General features: G+C 43.1%; 2 protein-coding genes across 8 annotated transcripts in view, besides 4 other annotated features; one reads left to right on the plus strand and one right to left on the minus strand.

The window, feature by feature from the left end:
- Positions 1-1466, minus strand: part of KCTD9 (potassium channel tetramerization domain containing 9) — a 30587-nt gene extending 29121 nt beyond the window's left edge. For 4 of the 5 annotated variants that reach the window (XM_047421912.1, XM_047421913.1, NM_017634.4 and 1 more), the window contains exon 1: positions 1232-1466. Coding sequence is in view for 2 of the 5 variants with exons in the window: in NM_017634.4 (NP_060104.2) it covers positions 1232-1279 (48 nt within the window). In the remaining 3 variants the exon portion in view is untranslated. Of the gene's footprint in view, positions 1-333; positions 576-1231 lie in introns of those variants that run through there. The other variant, XM_047421914.1, reaches the window with a different exon arrangement.
- Positions 515-564: an enhancer, noted in NCBI's record as "active region_27124". NCBI's record gives its function as "activates an Ori minimal core promoter by ATAC-STARR-seq in GM12878 lymphoblastoid cells {active_cell/tissue: GM12878}" and the evidence as "EXISTENCE:reporter gene assay evidence [ECO:0000049][PMID:35858748]".
- Positions 1175-1224: a silencer, noted in NCBI's record as "silent region_19035". NCBI's record gives its function as "represses an Ori minimal core promoter by ATAC-STARR-seq in GM12878 lymphoblastoid cells {active_cell/tissue: GM12878}" and the evidence as "EXISTENCE:reporter gene assay evidence [ECO:0000049][PMID:35858748]".
- Positions 1585-1794: a silencer, noted in NCBI's record as "silent region_19036". NCBI's record gives its function as "represses an Ori minimal core promoter by ATAC-STARR-seq in GM12878 lymphoblastoid cells {active_cell/tissue: GM12878}" and the evidence as "EXISTENCE:reporter gene assay evidence [ECO:0000049][PMID:35858748]".
- Positions 1935-2164: an enhancer, noted in NCBI's record as "active region_27125". NCBI's record gives its function as "activates an Ori minimal core promoter by ATAC-STARR-seq in GM12878 lymphoblastoid cells {active_cell/tissue: GM12878}" and the evidence as "EXISTENCE:reporter gene assay evidence [ECO:0000049][PMID:35858748]".
- The window catches only part of CDCA2 (cell division cycle associated 2), a 48987-nt gene continuing 29263 nt past the window's right edge, over positions 1964-21687 (plus strand). The window contains exons 1-7 of one of the 3 annotated variants that reach the window (NM_001317907.1): positions 1964-2506; positions 3273-3333; positions 3417-3587; positions 5087-5241; positions 9208-9358; positions 11250-11446; positions 12929-13013. In NM_001317907.1, coding sequence (NP_001304836.1) covers positions 3273-3333; positions 3417-3587; positions 5087-5241; positions 9208-9358; positions 11250-11446; positions 12929-13013 — 820 coding nt within the window. In that variant the 5' untranslated portion in view covers positions 1964-2506. Of the gene's footprint in view, positions 2507-3272; positions 3588-5086; positions 5242-9207; positions 9359-11249; positions 11447-12928; positions 13014-21687 lie in introns of all 3 variants that reach the window. The other 2 variants (NM_152562.4, NM_001317906.1) reach the window with 2 other exon arrangements.

Below are 21687 nucleotides of genomic sequence, written 5' to 3' on the forward strand. Positions count from 1 at the left end.
ACAGGTTTAGAAAAAGTTAATAGTGATGAGAAATGTAAACTTCGTGAACATATTTTCGGGGTAGCATTCATGATAACTCAAGAACTCGAATTTATACGAATTCTGATTTTAAATGAGTATTAAATCTCTAAGACCAAAAGAACATAAAATTATAGCCAACAAACCACACTCTGGTTCGAATTTTCGGAGCATGTTTACTCTACACTGAATAATCGGAAAGCCATTTTTAATGCCACTGGACAATTTCACTATTTAAAAATTTACAGTGTTCCCCGAATGTGCAGGCAGCAGAGTATTTTGGCAACCAACACAGCGAGACCCATTTACCTTTACCTTAGACTCGTAAAGGCTGAGTTACTTCTAGGTATCATTTAGCAACGCAATAAATGTCTGCCTCGAACAGTGAAAATTTCCCAAAGGAGCAGAACAACTTTCATGGGTGGGGCAAAAGGCTGGGAAGGAAGAGAATTCGTTTTGGCTTGCTCCAGCGCTGGAAGAACACTGAGCACCACACTCTCCGCAAAGGCCTAACACAGCAAAGGCGACTGTCAAATCGATCCCTTTTGGGTCTGCTGTACCCGTCCTCTAGGGAATCAAAATAAGGCAAAATAATAAAAAGAGTACAGAGAAGTTTGGCGGCGGCGGGGCGTGGGGGCTTGAGGCATCTCAGAGAGGAGGGCAAAAATCAACAAGAAAATGCCCCCATTTTAAAAATCCTGTCTGCGACCTCGGATGGGAGATTTTGTTTATCCACGGGCAGTTTACTTCTGTCTCCCTGACCCATCTCCACAGGCTCTGGTGCTCGCCGCCACTTTCCGAGCAGATCATTACTCAGCACCGGAGCCGGCGCGCCTCCTCCCGCAGGCGGGAGCGGGGTCTCGGGGAGAGGCGGGAAGAGGCGCGACCGCCCGGGCGCCCAGGTGACCGCGGCCCTCCCCGCGCCCCCGTCCCCGCGCCCCCCGCACCAAGCATCCGGGAGACCCGGAGCCCCCGGGCCGAACCGCGCCGGCCCCCAGGCAGCTGAGGCACTGAAGGGCAGGCTCGGGCACGGGGGTCCTGAGGGTCGGGAGGAGGCCGCGGGGACCCTGTGCTGTCCCCGAGCGCCCCCAGCCCGCGCACGCCCACCTCCCAGCCCCTCTACCCAACTTCACCGCTGCCCCGCCAGCCGGTTCCGCACCGTCCGCCCTCGCCCCGACCCCCGGCCCGCCGCGCCCCCTCACGCCCCCGTTACCTTTCCGTTCTTGGGGCTGCCGTTCAGGAACAGGGTCACCCGCCTCATCGCGCTGCCCCCGCTGGGTCCTGAGTGAGCCGCCACCCTCCCACCTGGTCCTCCTCCCACCTTTTTCTCCTCCCGCCCTTCCCCTCCCTCCACCCACTCGGATTCGCCTCCCTTCGCCACCTTCCTGCCCTTGGGGACACACCACACGCACGCACTCTGTCCCACACCCAAGGTTCGGCCGGTCCTCCTTCCCACCCCGCCCCTAGGCTCCTCAGCCTGCCTGGGGCCCTTCCCCCACCTCTCCGAGACTGACACTCTGCCGTACCAACCAACCCGCGTCACCGGACAGAGTCCAGCCAATCAGCACCCAGTATCGGGCGGGCTCTGGCTAACCTAGCCGGGACGGAGGGAGGGAAGAGACGCTGAAGGCTAGTAGACGGGAAGGGGCATCAGCCAATCAGAGAGGCTCCTGGAGCCGGACGGCGGCTTCCAGCGTTACTGAGCAGGCGCACCCTCTAGTTTAGGTAGCGCTTATCTGCATACGAGGGCGGGGTCTGGGGAAAGGAGGTGGAGCGCTGAAAGGGACCCAAGCACCAGTCAGCCCCTCCTCCAGCGTTAGCCCCGCCCACAAGCCGGCCCAGCTAGGAAACGGCTGCGGTAGGGACGGACTGATTGGGTAAGAGCCAGCTCGTCGCTCTGTTAGGATTGGTTGAATGAGTCTTTTCGAAGTTTGCAGCATCCAATAGAAAGGTGGGAGGCGGAGTTAAAGCGCTAAGAGAAGCGTTACTCCGCGAGACTCTCCTGAAAAGTAGTCCCCGAGGTCACAAGGCAGTGGCAGGTGTCTGTAGTCCTCGGGTTGACTGCAGCTCGCGGTGGTCCCTCTCCGAGCCCAGGAAGCCACTCCAGTGCCGAGGGAGAGGCCTGGGAGCGCTCGGAGTGTGCGCGGACTGGAGAAGGGGGAGGTGGCGGAGTGATTCGTAGAGTAAATTCGGTACCGAGGGGCGGGGTCGGGGATTTGAATCGGTCGGCGGGCGGAGGAGGCGGGTGGAGGAGGCTGCCGGGCAGAGCGCAGGCCAGGATCAGCGCAGGCTGTGAGTCCAGGTCAGCCGTCGGGACCTCGGGCTCCGGGTTCGAAGAGCGGCTCCCGGCTGCGGGTGCTTTGCCAGGAGAGCCCTTCCGGACAGAGGAGCCGGGGTCTGGAAGGAGCGGCCGACGCGACGCTCGCCTGCCACGGGGCTCTGGGAGTAAGCCTGTCTGCCTGGCGGGCCTTCAGGTGCGGCGTGAGAGGTAGGATTGCATCCGCGCTGCCACGGGGCTGTTTCTCCGGGGCATTTCTAGGCACTTTGTTCGGCTTACCCTGCAGCACAGAATTAGTACTCCTGTCAGGAGCTGCTCTGGGTGACCAGGAGTGCATCCGGACCTGTTGAGAGAATTTCTGGAAATGGATAGAGCTGCGTCTTGAGAGGGGTACCCTTATGATTCAGGTTTTCGCTACGGTTGAAAAGCCATGGCTTATCCTTTGGGGTCTGCTTTGGTGCCTGAACAGCAGTTTTCTCCATTTCTTTCTGTTTAATTTGGCTTTAAAAGTACGCGCTTAGAGTAAAAGAATGGTTAGCACAGGGTGGGAAGTGTATTGGGGATGGATGGGAAGGAAGTGGAGATGGTTAATAGGTAGAAAAACAAAGAATGAATAAGATCTAGTATTTGCTAGCACAACAGGGTGGCGGTCCATAATTTAATTGTGCATTTAAACATAACGAAGTATAATTGGATTGTTTATAACAAAAAGGATAAATATTTGAGATAATGGCTACCTCATTTACTTTGATTTGATTATTACGAATTGCATGCCTGTATCAAAATATTTCATGTACCCCATAAATTATACATCTACTGTATACCCACAGAAATTAAAATAAAAAATGAAACCTGTGACGTGTGTTTCTATGCCAGTATGGACTGTATTACAATTCAGTCCTGAATAAGGTACGTGATCGAATCACGTTCATCTTGCTGGTGGGGTTATTTTTCATTGTTTTTCTTCACCTCTTAGATGGATGCCAATTCAAAAGACAAGCCCCCTGAAACCAAGGAGTCTGCAATGAATAATGCTGGTATGTGATGATCTGCCTCCTTGTGAAGTTGAAGGTTTAGACAGAGAGTTGTCCTCACCCCTACAATATGTCGTCCGTTTCAGGAAATGCCTCTTTCATTTTGGGAACTGGGAAGATTGTGACTCCTCAGAAGCATGCCGAATTACCTCCTAATCCTTGCACACCAGATACTTTTAAATCACCTTTGAACTTTTCCACAGTAACCGTAGAGCAATTGGGAATTACACCTGAAAGCTTTGTTAGGAACTCTGCAGGTAAGAAAAGTTGTCATTCTGTTGTAATGCTTTTCAAGTTTAAAAATAACTTTAATATAACTCAGCTTTATTTGTTTATACGTACTGTCATATTTTAGGTACCTAAATTGCCTACTCTGCAAACTTGCTTCTTCAGAGAGACTTCTTTGCACATGCACAGTTCATTTAGCATAGCAGGGATCACGGAATCGCAGGGCACCCAGCATGATAATGTTCCCAAGTCAGAGTCGTGCTTGATGCCAATACTAGAAAATAATGTGTGTGTGAGTCACTTTTTGACCTGTCACCTAGGATACAGGAGGGTGTATGATATGAATAGTAATAATGCATTTTGTTTTCATTTATGGCAAAAATAAGAGAAAGTTTAAGAGCAATTAAGAAAATATAATACTGAAAGAGCAGGATGTACCTCCTTTAACAATCACAAACAGGGTTGGGCTCAGTGGCTCAAGCCCGTAATCCCAGCGCTTTGGGAGGCCGAGGCAGGCAGATCACCGGAGGTCAGGAGTTCGAGACCAGCCTGACCAACATAGAGAAACCTCGTCTCTACTAAAAATACAAAATTAGCCGGGCATGGTGGTGCATGCCTGTAATCCCAGCTACTCAGGAGTTTGAGGCAGGAGAATCGCTTGAACCTGGGAGGCAGAGGTTACCGTGAGTCGAAATCGCACCATTGCATTCCAGCCTGGGCAACAAGAGTGAAACTCTGTCTCCAAAAAAAAAAAAAAAAAAAAAAACACAAACAGAAGATTGATTCTGGCTAATGTCCTTCGAGCAGTAGAAATGAAGTTTACTTGTGAAGTCTGACTTAGATGGAAAAGAAGGAAATACTATATGAGAATGGAATTGGATCAGAGAATAGCATTTAGAATTGGAGGATAATGGAAGTCTTGAATATCACAGGGCACTAGACCAGGTAATACATAAGACAAGGCGAAAGTGGCACGCCACCCTAACTTTCATTCTCAAAAACATCACTCTTAGACCTTTAAAAGGCTGGATTCATTTTGTGTGCTTAGGCATATGTCCAAAATTCAGGGTAGTGCTGATGGTAGGTATCAGAAAGAAACAATCATCTTGAAGAATTAAGAACCTGAGACTGCATGTACCTAGGTGGAGATCTTACCTTTCAGTTGCTGGGGATAAAACTGACTTATTTAGAAAAAGAAAAATACTGAGTCAAAAGCAAAAGCCATCTGTGTGTAGGAAATAAGAAACAAAAATGAAAACTTAAAATGTGTTCATGTATTTATTCAACAACTTTTAATAACTGTTCTATGTACCAGGCACTGTTCTAGGAGCATAGACTAAGTCAGCAGACAAAAAGATTCCTCTTCCACTGATTGTATATGAATGACTGTGCCAGTAACTCTCCACTGAGTTTTTTGTAGCACATGTTTATCATGTTTTCTCTCTCAGGCTGGTACATCACGAGTATTGGATGTGGTTACTGATGATTGCCTTGTTTTGTTCCAATTTATAAGAGAGTTTCATTACAGGAAAGTCATCATCCTACCTTAAAAAATGTAGACGACGTTCTGCAGTCGGTGCTCGGGGCTCTCCTGAAACAAACCATCTGATTCGTTTCATTGCTCGGCAGCAAAATATAAAGAATGCTAGGAAATCTCCTTTGGCACAAGATTCTCCTTCCCAGGTATGATTTTCTTCTAAGTTCTGTCGTGAATTCCGTTAATGAAGCTTTTGTGCTTTCTTTACACCTTCTAGTGCATCTGCTCTGTTTCAAATCTGGAGGGAGATTTTCTCTGTGTTTTAGAGAACATGCAGTTAGCGGCCGGGCGCGGTGGCTCACGCCTATAATCCCAGTACTCTGGGAGGCTGAGGCAGGCAGATCATTTGAGGTCAGGAGTTCGAGACCAGCCTGGCCAACATGGTGAAACCCCATCTCTACTAAAAATACGAAAATTAGCTGGGTGTGGTGGCAGGTTCCCGAAATTCCAGCTACTTGGAGGCTGAGGCACGAGAATTGCTTGAACCTGGGAGGCAGAGGTTGCATTGAGTCAAGATCATGCCACTATGTTCCAGTCTGGGCGACAGAGTGAGACTGTCTCAAAAAAAAAAAAAATGCAGTTAGCCTAAATGATGATGTTGACCATGGGTGATTTTTCTTTGTTTGCTTTGTTTTAGAGACAGGATCTCAGTTGCCCAGGCTGGAATGCACTGGTGCAATCATAGCCCACCGCAGCAATGAACTCCTGGGCTCAAGGAATCCTCCCACCTTAGCTTTCCAAGTAGCTGGAACTATAGGCATGTGCCACAGCAATGGGCTAATTATAAAAATTTTTTTTTGTAGAGATGGGGCCTCACTATGTTGCCCAGGCTTATTTTGAACTCCTGACCCTAAGCAATCCCTATCAAAGTGCTGGGGTTACAGGTGTGTGCCACAGTGCTCAACCCAAACGAGGGTATTTTTAGAGTTATGAGACCCTGGATAGAAATAGCTTTCTAGAGGAGCTTTTTATTTTATTTCTCAATTTTTTTTTCTAGTTAAGATCTACTTTTCTATGAGGTGAGGCACTACTACCTTTTTAAGAGCTTATCTCTAAGTTACTGATTTTTTCATGACTACTGTGTGTTGATGTATAGGGGCAAGGGTCTCCTGGACAAAATGTATTTGGGACAACCTTGTGGAGAGGAGTAGATTATTTATCTGCTGATGGGGATATATTTAGCTGTTTTTTCAAATTTTTATACATCCCCCTAAAAAGTCAGATACAGTCTTGTGCTACATAATGACATTTTGTTCAGTGATGGACTAAATATACAATGGTGGTCTCATAATAATGGAGCCGAAAAATTTCTAAGGCCTGGTGATGTAGCTCATATAACATCATAAAACAATGCATTGCTCATGCATTTGTGGTGAGGCTGGTGCAAACAGTTCTACGGTGCTGCCACTTGTATTAAAATCTAGCACAAAAGGTTACCTACAATACATAATACTTGATAGTCATAATGAATGACTGTTCCTGGTTTATACATTTACTATAGACTTTGTATCATGAATTTAAAGTGTACTCCTTCTACTGATTAAAAAAAAAAAGGACCTTAATGTTGTACGTGTGTTGTGCTGGCAGCAGCCTCCTACGTTCTCCCTAATCCATTGGCTATCCCACAGAGCAGTCAAGGAGAGGCATTCATTTAAAGTAGAAATCGAATCATTCACCCGGCTGCTCAGAATCTTCCCATGGCTTCCTGCGATCCCTTGAATTAAACCTACACCCCTTCCTGATGCCTTCGTACGCCCACTCTAGTCTCTCCCCATCTCCTTCCACTCACAGGGCACACTGGCTTTTCTGCCCCATCCTGTTTCCACTCAAGGCCTTGGCCCTTGTTCTTGGAGAGTACCTCCCTCCTGTGACATCTTCCCTTAGACCTCTTTCTCATTGTTTTGGCTTCAACTCAGATTTTACTAAAGATAGAGGTCTGTCCTGATTCTAGCTAAGCCAGCACTTTTAGGGACTCAGCCACATTCCTGATATTTCTTCTCAATAGCACCTCTTTTACCTGTAACTACGTTTATATGTTTTCAGAATTTCACTCTAAACGGTAATTTCCCTGGCTGGGTATGGTGGCTCACACTGTAATCCCAGAACTTTGAGAAGCAAAGGAGGGAGGATCGTTCGAAGCCAGGAGTTTGAGACCAGCCTGGGCAACATGACAAAACTCCATCTCTACAGAAAAATTTTAAAAATTATCTGGGTGTGGTGGCACATGCCTGTAGTCCAAGCTATTTGAGAGGCTGAAGTTGGAGGATCGTTTGAGCCCAAGATATCGAGGCTGCAGTGAGCTGTGATTGTGCCACTGCACTCCAGCCTGGCTGATAGAGCAAGACCTTGTCTCAAATAAAAATAAAGTAATTTTCCCTAGATCCTGAGCCCCTCAAACAGTTTGTGGTGCATGGAAGGAAGGTTGTTGACTGACCGACACAATTCCTAAAACAAAAACATCAAAAAAGCAGTACATTTTGAATGTTTCATTTGCTTTGTATGTAAACATTGTTCTCCTTCTCCAGTAGAAAATAGAGAAAAAACAATTTTGACTAGAGAAACTTAAAATTTTTTTAAGCAGCATTTCAAAGTGCTGCATGTTCCTAGGATATTAAATCTGCCCCTACCATGTTCAAATATGTGTGCAAAAAAAGCACATTCAAAGTAAATTGTATGAATTTGAGATCATCTTTTCCCTGTCGTTCTGTTAGATGAATTGACATAAGCCTTTTTTGAATATTATTGCTGTTTATGTCGTGAACGTTTGTGTCATCAAGGATATTTCAATGTAAAATGTTCTCATTATGTAATAGAGAATTTGCTTTATATTTAACTGGGAAGAGAATCAAATGTGTGAACAGATCACCATCAAACATGGCTTCACGATATGAACTGCTTTTTCTCCCTGTGATATATATATATTTTTTCTGAGACCAAGCCTTGCTCTGTTACGCAGCCTGAAGTACAGTGGCATGATCTCGGCCCATTGCAACCTCTACCTCCCAGGTTCAAGCGATTCTCCCACCTCAGCCTCCCACATAGCTGGGATTACAGGCATGCACCACCACGCCTGGTTAATTTTTGTGTTTTTCGTAGAGACATGGTTTCACCATGTTAGCCAGGCTGGTCTCAAACTCCTGACCTCAAGTGATCCTCCCACCTTGGCCTCCCAAAATGCTGGGATTACATGCATGAGCCACTGTGCCCAGCCTACTCTGTATGATATCTTAAACGGAGGTAATTTTTACTTCACTTTTTGCCCATTGGTATAATTTTTAAACATTGCCACAAACTTCATATCAGTGGAAATGTTAGTAGTCCAAGTAATAAAAAAAAATCTAGATAGAGAACTTCATTTGTAATTTAATTTTTATGTAAAGGGAACTCTCAATTTTTATATTACTTGTCTTTAACTGGCACTTCTATCCCTGCTAATATAAATTTCATTTTATCAGTCTTTGGTTGGAACCCTGTTAACGGGGTTTCCAGAGAGCTTCTGTGCTTATACCATCAAACTTTGTATTTTAAGAGAATGGCTGGCTTTCAACCCTAAGAAGGAAATATCCTCCAGGTCCCATACAATCAGGAAAATTAGCTGGGAAGAGCCAAAAAGGAGAGCAGTGCAAGTGTAGTATCTGAGCATGTATGGAACTTCTGTGTCTCGTTCTGGCCCCTGGGCTGGAGGGCATGTGTAGACCCGTGCTGAGTAGAAACAGCTTGGACTGAAGGAGGTATGCTGAGACTTACCTGTGACACAAGCACCATGCAGATGGCTTCCTATGGATACATCCAGCACAACATTTGGTAAAAATTGCAAATAGACAGGTTCCTCCTGTCCCTTTTTTGTTGCACCATCCCAGAGCGCAATGTTTTTTTGGCACCTTCCATATAATCTTAGGCTGGCCTCTCAACATTTTTGTGTTAAACTTCCTTATTCAAACTGAAAATGGGTAATTCCAGGGTGAAGAAGCTCTGCCACACTAACTCCTTACCGCTGATCTTCAAAAAGCATATGTGTACTGTATTTAATTTTGGATTCAATGGCTGTAGGCCTAGAATATAGAAAGTATGAATTGATTATAATACTCCTTGTATATTTTGCACTTTCACAGGGCAGCCCTGCACTGTATCGAAATGTTAACACTTTAAGAGAACGAATATCAGCCTTCCAGTCAGCTTTTCACTCCATAAAGGAAAACGAGAAAATGACCGGCTGTCTGGAATTCTCAGAGGCAGGAAAAGAGTCCGAGATGACAGACTTGAGTGAGTAGAAATAATTCGTTCAGTTTTGACTTCAATATTTATAAAGACAAGCTTCTGAGTTATGAAATGATTTAGTGTGAAGCCAATCTTTTCAGAACACAGGTATATTTATAAAGTGAGACTAACATTAAAAATTTGGGACATTTCACACAAAAATAAGGATTTCTGGTTTCTCTTAGAAAAAAAAACCTGTTATCAGGCATTCCTAATCCTACATTTCCGCATGGTTGCAATTAAATTTTAAGTTTTAAAATGCCAGAGATAATTAGCTCATTTCACCTTTACCATAGAGCTTGTGGCAAATTTGAGTTTACAAATCTTGATTTTTACAGGATTATTATTAAGCTCGGCAAGCATTTAGTAAATGAAATAAATTCATATAAATTTTATATGAGTACCAAACACCCAACCCTGATGTTAAAAACAAATATATTCAGCCAGGCGCGGTGGCTCATGCCTGTAATTCCAGCACTTTGGGAGGCTGAGACGGGAGGATCACTTGAGGTCAGGAGTTCAAGACCAGCCTGGCCAACATGGTGAAACCCTGTCTCTACTAAAAATACAAAATTAGCCAGGCGTGGTGACACATGCCTGTAACTCCAGCTACTGGGGAGGCTGAGGCAGGAGAATCACTTGAACCTGGGAGGTGGAGGTTGCAGTGATCCCAGATCGTGCTATTGCACTCCAGCCTGGGCGAAGAAGTGAGAGTCCCTTTCAAAAAAAAAAAAAAAAAAAAAAAAACACACACACACACACAAATATATCCAATCTGATAATCTGCTATATTCTTTAACTCTTAGATTGTAATTCATTTGGTTGTTTTTTCAGTCTTTTTTTTTTCCCCCCCAATCACGAAGCATTTCAGATACCAGAATGTGACAAAATCTTGGTCTTACTGTAATCATTATAACCATTCTCTGGTACTTTACACACTAAGGTTTCAAATGATTCTGTTTTGAATTCTTGAACCATCTTTAAGTGCATTTCAGCACCTCCCATGAGGATTGCTCTGTTAGCCCAAGACAAGTCCCCCTCATCTACCTCTAGAGTGCGTGACCCATTCAGATGTACCGATTTATATTTGTAGTTTGTGACTCACTTATTGTTTCAGTTTTTTCCTGGGTTTTAAAATTTATTTACATCATTATAATTCTGCAGACAGTTCCTTTTTTTTAGCTAGAAAAAAACAGGTACGTTGTGGTTGTCTTTTTCATAAAGTCATACAGAGTATTAGAGCATAACCACATCTTTCAAAATAACAGGTGTCATCATTTAAAAAGCGTGAGGTACCATATTAGACATGCAAAAGTATTTTAGTATATCTTTGTACCTTTTAAGGCCTGAAAAAACTTAATTCTAATAATATGAATGTATTATCTTTTCAATAGACATGTTTTCATTCCTTTCAGTTAGATTTAATTTTTTTTGGAATAAAAAAGTGTGGTAGATTTTTCTTTTCATTGATAATTTAGACTTAAGCACTAGATTTTACTAAAATTACGATGCACAATAGCCGGGCGTGGTGGCTCATGCCTGTAATCCCAGCACTTTGGGAGGCTGAGGTGGGTGGATCACCTGAGGTCAGGAGTTCAGACCAGCCTGACCAACGTGGTGAAACCCCATCTCTACTAAATATACGAAGATTAGCCAGGCATGGTGGCATGAGCCTGTAATCTCAGCTATTTGAGAGGCTGAGGCAGGAGTATCACTTGAGCCCAGAAGGTGGAGGTTGCAGTGAGCTGAAATCGCACCATTGTACTCAAGCCTGGGCGACAAGAGTGAAACTCCGTCTCAAAAAAAAAAAAAAAAAAAAAGAAAAGAAAAAAAATATATATAATATATATGAAAACATTTATGCCTGTGTCGTTTTGTTTTTATTTTGTGTTTATAGCCAGAAAGGAAGGTCTCAGCGCTTGCCAGCAGTCTGGGTTCCCTGCAGTGTTGTCCTCCAAACGTCGGAGAATATCCTATCAGAGAGACTCTGATGAAAATCTGACGGATGCTGAAGGAAAAGTAATTGGTCTCCAGATATTCAATATTGATACAGACAGAGCATGTGCAGTTGAAACTTCTGTAGATCTTTCTGAGGTAATTCACTTACTTTACGCATAGGAAAATGAAGTTGTTGGTTTTCTGCATAGGCAGTTTTAAGGCTGTCAGTGCCGTTCTTCAATTTTAGTACCTTGTTCTGCCCTGTGGTTCCTGGGGTGTGTGTGTGTGTGTGTGTGTGTGCGTGTGTGTGTGTGTGTTTCCTACCTGTTAATTTTATGGTTGCTGGTATTTATCACTTATTAGAAACAGTTTGGATAATGATCTCACTTTTGACTACTAACCTTACAAAGAGAGTAAGCCCTGGGGTCTTCTACGTATGAGGTATTCTAGAGGGTGATGCTCCAAGAAGGGAGGAAGTTACAGTCTTGCCCTTAGGCAGTATTTTTTCTACTGGGGAGCAGGGTATAAGCAGATGGCTTCAGTGGAGCTGGTGGATCAGGTGGAGATTCTGTGTGGGGTGTACTCCACAGGCTTGGGAGTCTTGCACTTATACCTGCCCCTGACTGCTTTCCTTCTGATGGAAATCAGGGTGCCATTCAGCAATTTCTCCTTTGCTCACTTCTTTCAAGTAGCTCTAGGGATTTTTGTGGCTTATAACTACCTAAACCCTGTCAAGACGATCAAAAGGCGATATTAGAAAAATAATACTACTGAAGATCAGTTGACCTGCGCGCACGCGTGAATGGAGAGCTGGTCTCTCGTGACGGACTTTTCTTACTTCATGCTTCTAGTTCTGGTTTGACACAGTAGCTCCTCATGGCCTTTGTGAGAGGAGACACCTAACACCGTTACAGTTGGAACCCTTTCTGCACTTTCTCTGTCACTTAGATCCAGTGCTCGTCCTATTCGTTTTATGTGGACTGGCAGAACAAAGATTTGATAGTTATTAGACATTCTTCAGGCTCCAGTGGGTTTCCTTTGTATTTCAGTCGCCTGTAATCTCGGCTGCCTCCGCCCTTTTCAGGTTGATGTGAAATCCCCACTGGACAGAAGCAAGAATAATTGTTTGTTATCAGAACTTTGATTAATTGTTTGAACATACATCATGATTCAGATATTATTTCTGAATTAGTGTGAATGTGTTTTCTATCCTAGCCTTTAATGTTTTTCATATCCTAGTTATTGATATCGTTTGGCGTTTGATTAATAATTATATAAACTTTATTTTGAGAATTTTCTCTAAAGAATTACAGATGATACAGCTATCTAGGCTATAACAACAAAAATATATCCTTTAAACTTTTCCTGGGGAATTAAAAGTTGATTTGTGGGATGTTTAGGATGCAGTTAATATGAATAGTTCATGTTAGATTCCTGTACACTTTGAGATACACTTTATGAGATAAAGTGTACACTTTTCTCAGGATAAAGTATCTCCTGTACACTTTATGAGATAATGAAGGTGACTGATTGAACATCAGATTTCCAGGCAATCCATAATGTTTACTCAAATCTTCAAAAAGGCATTAGTAGTACTCTAATTAATAAAATGTAATACTCTTTCAATTTTTCCCCAAGATATCATCTAAACTTGGTTCAACACAGTCTGGATTTTTAGTTGAAGAGTCTCTTCCCCTTTCAGAGCTCACAGAGACTTCAAATGGTAAGTAATCTTTTCTTAGTACATGGCCAGTTGCCCGATTCATAGACATTTATGATTAGTGTACCTATTTGCTAAAATTTGGGGGAACTGAAATTGTTTCCTACTTTTTAGGAGCTCATGGCCTAGTAGAAATGCTTCTGAATTCTTGTTATATGAGAGATACTCTCTTTTTTAAGCTACGATCAATAAGAATTAGTGAAGTATTTTCAAGCTCATGGAATTTAGTATAAAGAGGTAGCACCTATGAACATATTAACAAGTATTCTTTGTTATAGGAACACTACTTGTAATATTTTTATTTGTTTTTAAGCATGTAAAAAGAGTCTTACCAGGATGTAAAAATTATTCTTTCTCAAAATCAGTATGCTTGTACTGGGTGAACATTACTAGCAAGGGTTTAGATTGACTTTTTTTCTACTTGGGTCTTTAAAACTCTTATGGGCATATAATTGGATCTTGTGTTTTATTAATCCATTCTGATAATTTATTGTAATTGGAATATTTCGCCTATTAACTTTTTAGGTAATTACTTAACATGGTTTTATTCACATCTGTCATTTTATCATATGTTTTCTATTCCTGATTATTGCTCTGTAATCTTTCATAGTCTGGTTAGTTGATATTATACAATTTCACATAAAATACAGAAACTACAAACTCTACAGATCAATTTCCTCTCCTTTCCAGCCATGGCTTTTATGATCCTTTACAGATACACACTTACTTCATTATAAGCCTCACAAGATGTTGTTTTTGGATTAAACAGCTGTATGTGCTTTGTTTTTCTTTTTTTTTTTTTAAGGCAGTTTCTTACTCTCTTGCCCAGGCTGGAGTGCAGTGGTGTGATCTCAGCTCACTGCAACCTCCCTCTCCCAGGTTCAAGCCATTCTTGTGTTTCAGCCTCCTGAGTAGCTGGGATTACAGGCGTGCACCACCATGCCCAGCTAATTTTTATGTTTTTAGTAGAGATGGGATTTTGCCACATTGGCCAGGCTGGGCTTCAACTCCTTGCCTTTAGCAATCCACCCATCTTGGCCTCCTAAAGTCCTGGGATTACAGGCATGAGCCACTGTGCCCAGCCAAAACAGTTATATGTGCTTTAAATAGGTTAAGAGGGGAAAAATAGTCTTTTATATTTACCCAGATGTACCATTTCTTATGTTGTTTTTTCCTAAAGATCTGAGTTTCTCTGTCTTATTTTCCTTCAACCTGAAAAAGAACTTCTTTAGCATTTTTGTAGTGAGCATTTGCTCTGACTTTTAATTTTAATCATAAGATAAATGGGTGGATGTCCGCCTGCATGGTCCCCCTGCACAGGGCAAGGTTGTGAGTTTGTTACCACAATGGAATAAGGTGTTCTTGCCTTCAATGTTTTCTTTCTTCTTCTTCTTCTTATTTTTGAGACAGAGTCTCGCTCTGTTGACCAGGCTGGAGTGCAGTGGCACAATCTCAGCTTACTGCAACCTCTGCCTCCTGGATTCAAGCAATTATCTGCCTCGGCCTCCCAAGTAGCTAGAATTACAGGTGCCTGCCACCAAGCCCAGCTGAGTTTTTTGTATTTTCAGTTGAAACAGGGTTTCACCATCTTGGCCAGGCTGGTCTTGAACTCCTGACCTCATGATCCACCCATCTCAGCCTCCCAAAGTGCTGGGATTTGCCACCGTGCCCGGCCCAACAGTTTCTTAACAATTCTTTTTGCTTTGCTCTTATGGGACTTTGCGTAGGAGTGACAGATTCTCTGTGACAGTGATTATAGATTGTATGAAGTGTAGCGATTCACAGTTGTCATCATACTAAACACCTCACTCTACAATGTGAAATGTTGAAATCACACAGGCCAAAATTTTATTTAGGCATGCCATGAGGCCGTACTCAGAAACAGTGTAATTAAACAGGGAAGAATAGATCTACCATAGTAGATGGGGCCTTGATGAAAGGAGTCTGGTGTTGATTTCTGTATTTTAAACTGCGTTGTTTTTTGGTGGCACCCCAGACAGTGCACCTTCAGGAAGAATAAAAAGATGTTCCGAGATGGAATCAAATGTCTCTTTGTTAAGGGGGAGCTTAGGGGGACCTGCATGACACCTCTGATCTCCTTTACCCCCTCTGCTTCCTCTGTTTTACCTATGTAGCCGGAAATCCAACATCCAACTCAGCGAATCTCCCTGCCTTCTCTGCACCTGCCCCAGAGCTGCTAATATTTGGTATGCTGATAGCCTCAATTTTTTTTTTTTACCTCAAATGGTTCTGTGCTGTTTCTTTTTTATTTTTTATTTATTTTTTTTTTTTGAGACGGAGTCTTGCTGTGTCACCCAGGCTGGAGTGCCATGGCGCGATCTCAACTCACTGCAACCTCTGCTTCCCAGGTTCAAGCCATTCTCCCACCTCAGCCTCCCGAGTAGCTGGGATTACAGGTACCCGCCACCATGCCTGGCTGATTTTTGTATTTTTGTAGAGACGGAGTTTCACCATGTTGGCCAGGCTGATCTTGAACTCCTGACCTCAGGTGACCCACCTGCCTTGGCCTCCCAAAGTGCTGGGATTACAGGCATGAGCCACCACACCTGGACTGTGCTGTTTCTTAATCCACACACTTTCACACCTTATTTTTCTCTTAAAATATCCAACGCTCCTTCCTTTATTTCTTTTTAAAATTTAGATACATATAATTTATGTTTTCAACAGATAATTTTATAGTGTGTCATGTAATTGTTTTGTTTTTCTTAAATTTATTACTATTATTTTTGAATGACAAACCATAACTGTATATATTTATGGGGAACAATATGATATTTTGATATATTTATACAATGTGGCATTATTAAATCAGGCTAATTAACATGTCCCTCACTTCACTTACCTGTCATTTTTTTTTATGGTGAGACGTTTGAAAATTACTCTCTTAGTTATTTTGAAATATGTAATACACTAATATTGACTATAGACACTGTTGTGCAATAGATCTCAAAACTGATTCCACTTATCTATCTGAAACCTTGTATTCTTTGATCAACAATTCCCCATTTCCTTCCTCACCACTTCTACAGCCTCTGGTAACCACTATTCAACTCTTTACTTCAATAAATTCAACTTTGTTAGATTCCTCATGTAGGTGAAATCATGTGGTTTTTGTCTTTTGTGCCTGGCTTATTTCACTTAGCAAAATCTCTTCCAGATTCATCCATGTTGTTGCAAATGAGAGTCTCCTCGCTTTTAGGGTTAAATAGTATTCTGCTGTGTGTATATATACCACGTTTTCTTTATCCATTCACCCATTAATGGATGCTTTTTCATTGATGAGAATGATGTTAGCGACAGGTTTGTCATGTATGTCCTTTATTGCGTTGAAGAACATTCTGTTCCTAGTCTGAGAATTTTTACTGTGATATTGTGTTAATTTTATCAAATGCTTTTTCTCCATCTATTGAGGTGATCATATGGTTTTTATTTTTCATCTTTTTTCATTTTTCAAGAGCGTTTATTAAAATAGGCAGTAATCAGTACATGTGCATCATATGAGCATTTATTCAAAATCAGCCCTTCCAGGAGAGGGGCTGCATCTCAGTTTTTCTATCTATATAATTAAAATGACCAAAGTACTTCCCTAAAGTAGAAAGGCATTTCATTAGTAGTCTTGGGACCATAACAGAATATGATTACTAAACATCTCCAACGTGGTTTTCATTACAGAGAAACATGTTTCACATAAGAGCTTCATAATATAATCCAGAGACAGAATTTGTGCATGGTTAAAATTTGAAGCCAGACTATTTCTGATACATATTTTTTTCATTTCTTCCGGTTTTTATTTTTGTAAATATGCATCCAGTTTCCTACCAGTTTAAAACACACACACAAAACACTGCTCAGAGCACCATGAATGCCTTACAGTAGCTTCTTTGAGACTATAATCCTAATTCAAGGAGGGCAGTACTAATTTCTATTCTGACTTGCTCCTTTCCCCAAATCTCAGCAATTGTCAGATACAAAAAAAGGTTTCTGGGCAGAGGGCCAAAGAATAATTATGAATAATTTCACAATGATCTGGTTAAGAAAACACACAGAAAATGGTGATGATATGGTTTCTATTTTTCATCTTCTTTATGTCATGTATCACATAGATTTGCATATGTTGAACCATCCTTGAATCCCAGGGATAAATCTAATTTGATCATGGTGAATGATTCTTTTAATGTGTTCCTGAATTAGGTTTGCTAATATTTTGTGGAGGATTTTTGCATCTTTGTTCACCAGGGATATTGGTGTATAATTTTCTTATATGTAGCAGGGTAGTGCTAACCTTGTAAAATGACAAGGAAGTATTTGGAAGTATTTTCTCTACTTTTATTTGTTTTGAAAGTGTTTGAGAAAACTTGTCAGTTCTTTAAATGTTTGATGGAAGTCAGCAATAAAGCCATCTGGTCCTGGGCTTTTCTTTTGGTGGGACATTTTTATTACTAATTCAGTCGTCTTCTCACTCATTATTGGTCTTTTGAGATTTTCTATTGGTTCATGATCCATTTCTTTTATCCAATTTCTTGGCATTTAATTATTCATAGTAGTTGCTTGTGATCCTTTGTATTTTGGTGTCAGGTTCTCTGGTTGCTTCCTGTGCTCTGAAGTCAAATGATATTGCTAGCTGTCCTCCATGGTCTAGTAAGATCACTGGCTGGACTCTGCCTTCAGTCAGGTAGAGCTGCTCTCTGGGTTCTGTGATTGTCTCTGATTTGGCAGAGTTGCAGGTTGTCTTCCTTGGCTGGTCAGTACTATTGTTTGGAATCTGTAGTTGGGCAGAACCATGTGATGGGCTCTGAGTCTGCTTGAGGTTGTTGCTTGGCCCCATAGGGTGGGCAGGGCCTGAGGCTGTACTCCACAGATGTGTGTGGATTCGGGCTTGCCTCCCAGCCCAGGGTAGGGTTAAGCAGAGCACTGAGATTTGGTAGAGTCACTTCTCTGCAGCTGGGGTCGAGCAGGGACAGATGCTCCTTCCACAGGTAATCACTGACACAGCCTGGCTTAGGGAAGACTTAGTGACAGCACAAGGGCTTAGTTTGATCACCTTTCCACTGCTAGGATTGGGTAGGCCCAGATGTACCTTTCATGGGTAATTGCTGACCTACAGTTGCTCCCCCTAAGCCAAAATCCAAACTCTGAAAATTTTTGAGTGCCAACATGATGCTCAAAGGAGATGGTTATTGGAGCATTTCTGGATTTTCAGGTTAGAGACGCTTGACTAGTAAGTAGAATGCAAATATTTGGGCTGGGTGTAGTGGCTCACGCCTGTAATCCCAGCACTTCAGGAGGCCGAGGCAGGCAGATCACAAGGTCAGGAGTTCTAGACCAGCCTGACCAATATGGTGAAATCCCGGCTCTACTAAAAATACAAAAATTAGCCAGGCGTGGTGGCACCTGCCTGTAATCCCAGCTACTCAGGAGGCTGAGGCAGGAGAATTGCTTGAACCCAGGAGGCGGAGGTTGCAGTGAGCCGAGATTGCACCACTGCACTGGAGCCTGGGCGACAGCGAGACTCCATCTCAAACAAAGGAATGCGAATATTTAATGCAACCACCAGAACTTAGTTGGCTCACATCTTTACAGCTAGGGTTAGATGGGGCCAGATATTTCCTCTGTGGGCAATCACTGACCTACAGTTGCTTCTCGACCTGGCGAAGACCTGATGGGAGCACCCAGGCTGTGTGGGGAAGCTGGACAGGGATTTTAACCTGGAAGACCCACTAACCATGTTTCCTGCAGTTTAATACTGCTGGCTGGTTTCTCTGGTGTGGCATCTCTGTTAGCTGGAATGCAGGAAGCCACCAGAATTCGCTCTCTGGTGGCTGTGATCCCCATCCCACGTTCTTTGTTTTTATCTGCCCCCCAGTGGCCCAGCCTTGCCAGTACTCCCAGTGTTTCCTGGGGGACAAGACAGGAGTGCAGCTCCTGCGAAGTATCCCAGAATGGTGGGGAAGCCAAACGTCTGCTTCCCACTCACTCTTCCCACTGTAGAAACTGTGGGTCCAGGGGAATTCTCTGTGTGTGGCACTGTGCCAGTTGGGAGAAGGGCAGCACAGTCAAACAGAAAAGTTTCTTACCACTTGTTTGTGGCTTTTCTCCATTCTGGGGTCCAAGGAGGTGTGTCAACCTCACTCCCAAATTCTGGGATATTCAGAATGTTATTTTTGCCTGCAGATAGTTGCTCATTGGATTTCTCTGGGAACAGGGAATGAAGCCACAGAACTCTTACTCCACTATCTCCCCCACATCACTCCAGTGTTTTTGTTTTATATCAAAGTACACATACGTAAGGAATTAGATATAATTCAGATTTAACTGGGCCCCTGCATCTTTATTTGCCAAACCTGGCAGCTCTACTCATGAGTGATCTGAGAGAAAGTTCCCTGGTAGCCTTTTGCAGTTCCTTGCTTCCTGTACCATTGAGAAAATAAGAGATTTTGGGAGCAAAGGTCTTGGTCCTCTCACCCCTAAGCCCTCCTGCATCTCTGTATGTGTGTATCTACCTTTGCTCCTCTTTCAAAAGGGTCTCAATGTTCTTACCTAGGGCCAGCCTCTTTTTTTTCTTTTTTTTTTTTGAGATGGAGTCTCACTCTGCCGCCCAGGCTGTAGTGCAATGGTGCGGCCCCAGCTCACTGCAACCTCTGCCTCCTGGGTTCAGGTGATTCTCCTAACCCAGCCCTCCTGAGTAGCTGGGACTACAGGTGCCCGCCACCACACCCAGCTAATTTTTGTATTTTTAGTAGAGATGCTGTCTCACCATGTTGGCCGGGCTGCTCTCAAACTCCTAACCTCTGGTGATCTGCCCACCTAGGCCTCCCAAAGTGCTGGAATTACAGGCATGAGCCACCACGCCTGGCCTCTACCCTCTTTTTTAGGGACTGATTCCCATTGCTCCTTCTCCTTCTAAGGACCTTGTGTCTGAGTTGTCTCCTCTCTTTTCTGAATTGTTAACTTTTCTTATTCAGCTACAAGATGCTGTAAAATATCCCATCTTAAACTTCCCTTTGCCCCAGGATTGCCTTCTAGCCAGAACACCATTTCTTTACTCTACTTTAGGCAAAACTTTTAAGAGAAGGCCACACTCTGTCTCCTTGCCTCCCATTCTTTCTTGATCCAGCTCCAAATAGGCCTTGTTGACCAGCCATCTCCTGGCTGCCAACCCAGTGGTAGTCAGACTCAACACATTCCTTTCCTTGATGTCTTAGCAGCACTATGGACGGATATAGACATCTACAACCAGGCCCTCCTGTGAGAAGCCTTTTCCTCACCTGGGTTTCAGGATGTCATTCTCATTTTCCCTTGCATCACTGACCATTTCCTCTTTGTGTATTTTCTTTGCTCCTCTTCTTTCATCCTGACCTTCAAATATTTGAATGCCCCCCCTCGACCTTCATGTTCGGTGCTTGGACCTTTTGTCTCTATATACAGGTTGAGCATCTGTAAGCCAAAAATCCAAATTCTGTAACTTTTTGAGTGCAAACATGACACTCAAAGGAGATGGTTATTGGAGCATTTCTGGATTTTCAGGTTAGAGATGCTTGACTGGTAAGTAGAATGCAAATATTTCAAAATCTGAAAAAAATTTGTAATCTGAAACACTTCTGATCCCAAGCATTTTGGATAAAGGATACCCAATGTGAACTCTTTCTAGGTGACTTCAAACATTATCACATGCTGTTGACTTCAAATTAAAATAGTTGCCCGTGGCCTTTTCCCGGAACTCTTGAATTAAGTATCCAGCTCCCTTTCATGACCTTCACTTGAATGCCTAATAAACATCTCAAACTGAACATAGTCAAATAGGTCTTGATGATTTTTTCCTTCACCAACCTGCTCATCTCTGTTTTCCTCATCTTAGTAAATGACACTCTCATTCACCTCATTGCTGTATCTCAAATATTGGACTTAACTTGATACCTTTCTTTTTCTTTTCCTTTTTTTTTTTTTTCTTAAGTTAGAGTCTCGCTGTCACCCAGGCTGGAGTGCAGTGGTGTGATCTTGGCTCACTGCAGCCTCAACCTCCTGAGCTCTAGGAGTCCTCCTACCTCAGCCTTCCAAGTAGCTGGGACCACAGGTGCTCACTACCATGCCCAGCTAATTTTTTTTTTTGGTAGGTACAGGATCCTACTATGTTGCCCAGGCTGGTCTCCAACTCCTGGGCTCAAGCAATCCTTCCATTCCACCTTGGTCTCTCAAAGTGCTGGGATTACAGATGTGAGCCACTGCACCCAAGTGATACCTCCCTTTTTCAAATGAAACTTGTAATCGCATTGACAAATGCTACTAGGTCTTCAAAATATGTCAAATGTCCACCCACTTCTCACCTTTTGCATTCCTATCAGTGTGGTCCAGGCCATCACCATCTCCTGCCTGGATTTTTTTATGTATCCTCTGAAGTGGTTTTCCTGCTTCCCCTCTTTCCCCAATCCCCTGTTACAGTTTTTCACACAGTAGCCAGAGCACTGGTTTTAAAATGTAAGTCACAGTATCTCACTGCCCTCCTCAAAATCTTTCATCGACTTCCTGTTATACTTAGAGAAGTAGCCAAAGACCATATTATTTCTACTAGGCCTTCCCTGGCCTGGTTCTTAACCTTTGCTCTGAGCTTATTTCTCAGCTCTCTTGTCCATGCCCACTGTTCCAGCCACAGCAGCCTTGC

Source organism: Homo sapiens, chromosome 8 (genome assembly GCF_000001405.40).
Source record: "Homo sapiens chromosome 8, GRCh38.p14 Primary Assembly".
Lineage (NCBI taxonomy): Eukaryota > Metazoa > Chordata > Mammalia > Primates > Hominidae > Homo > Homo sapiens.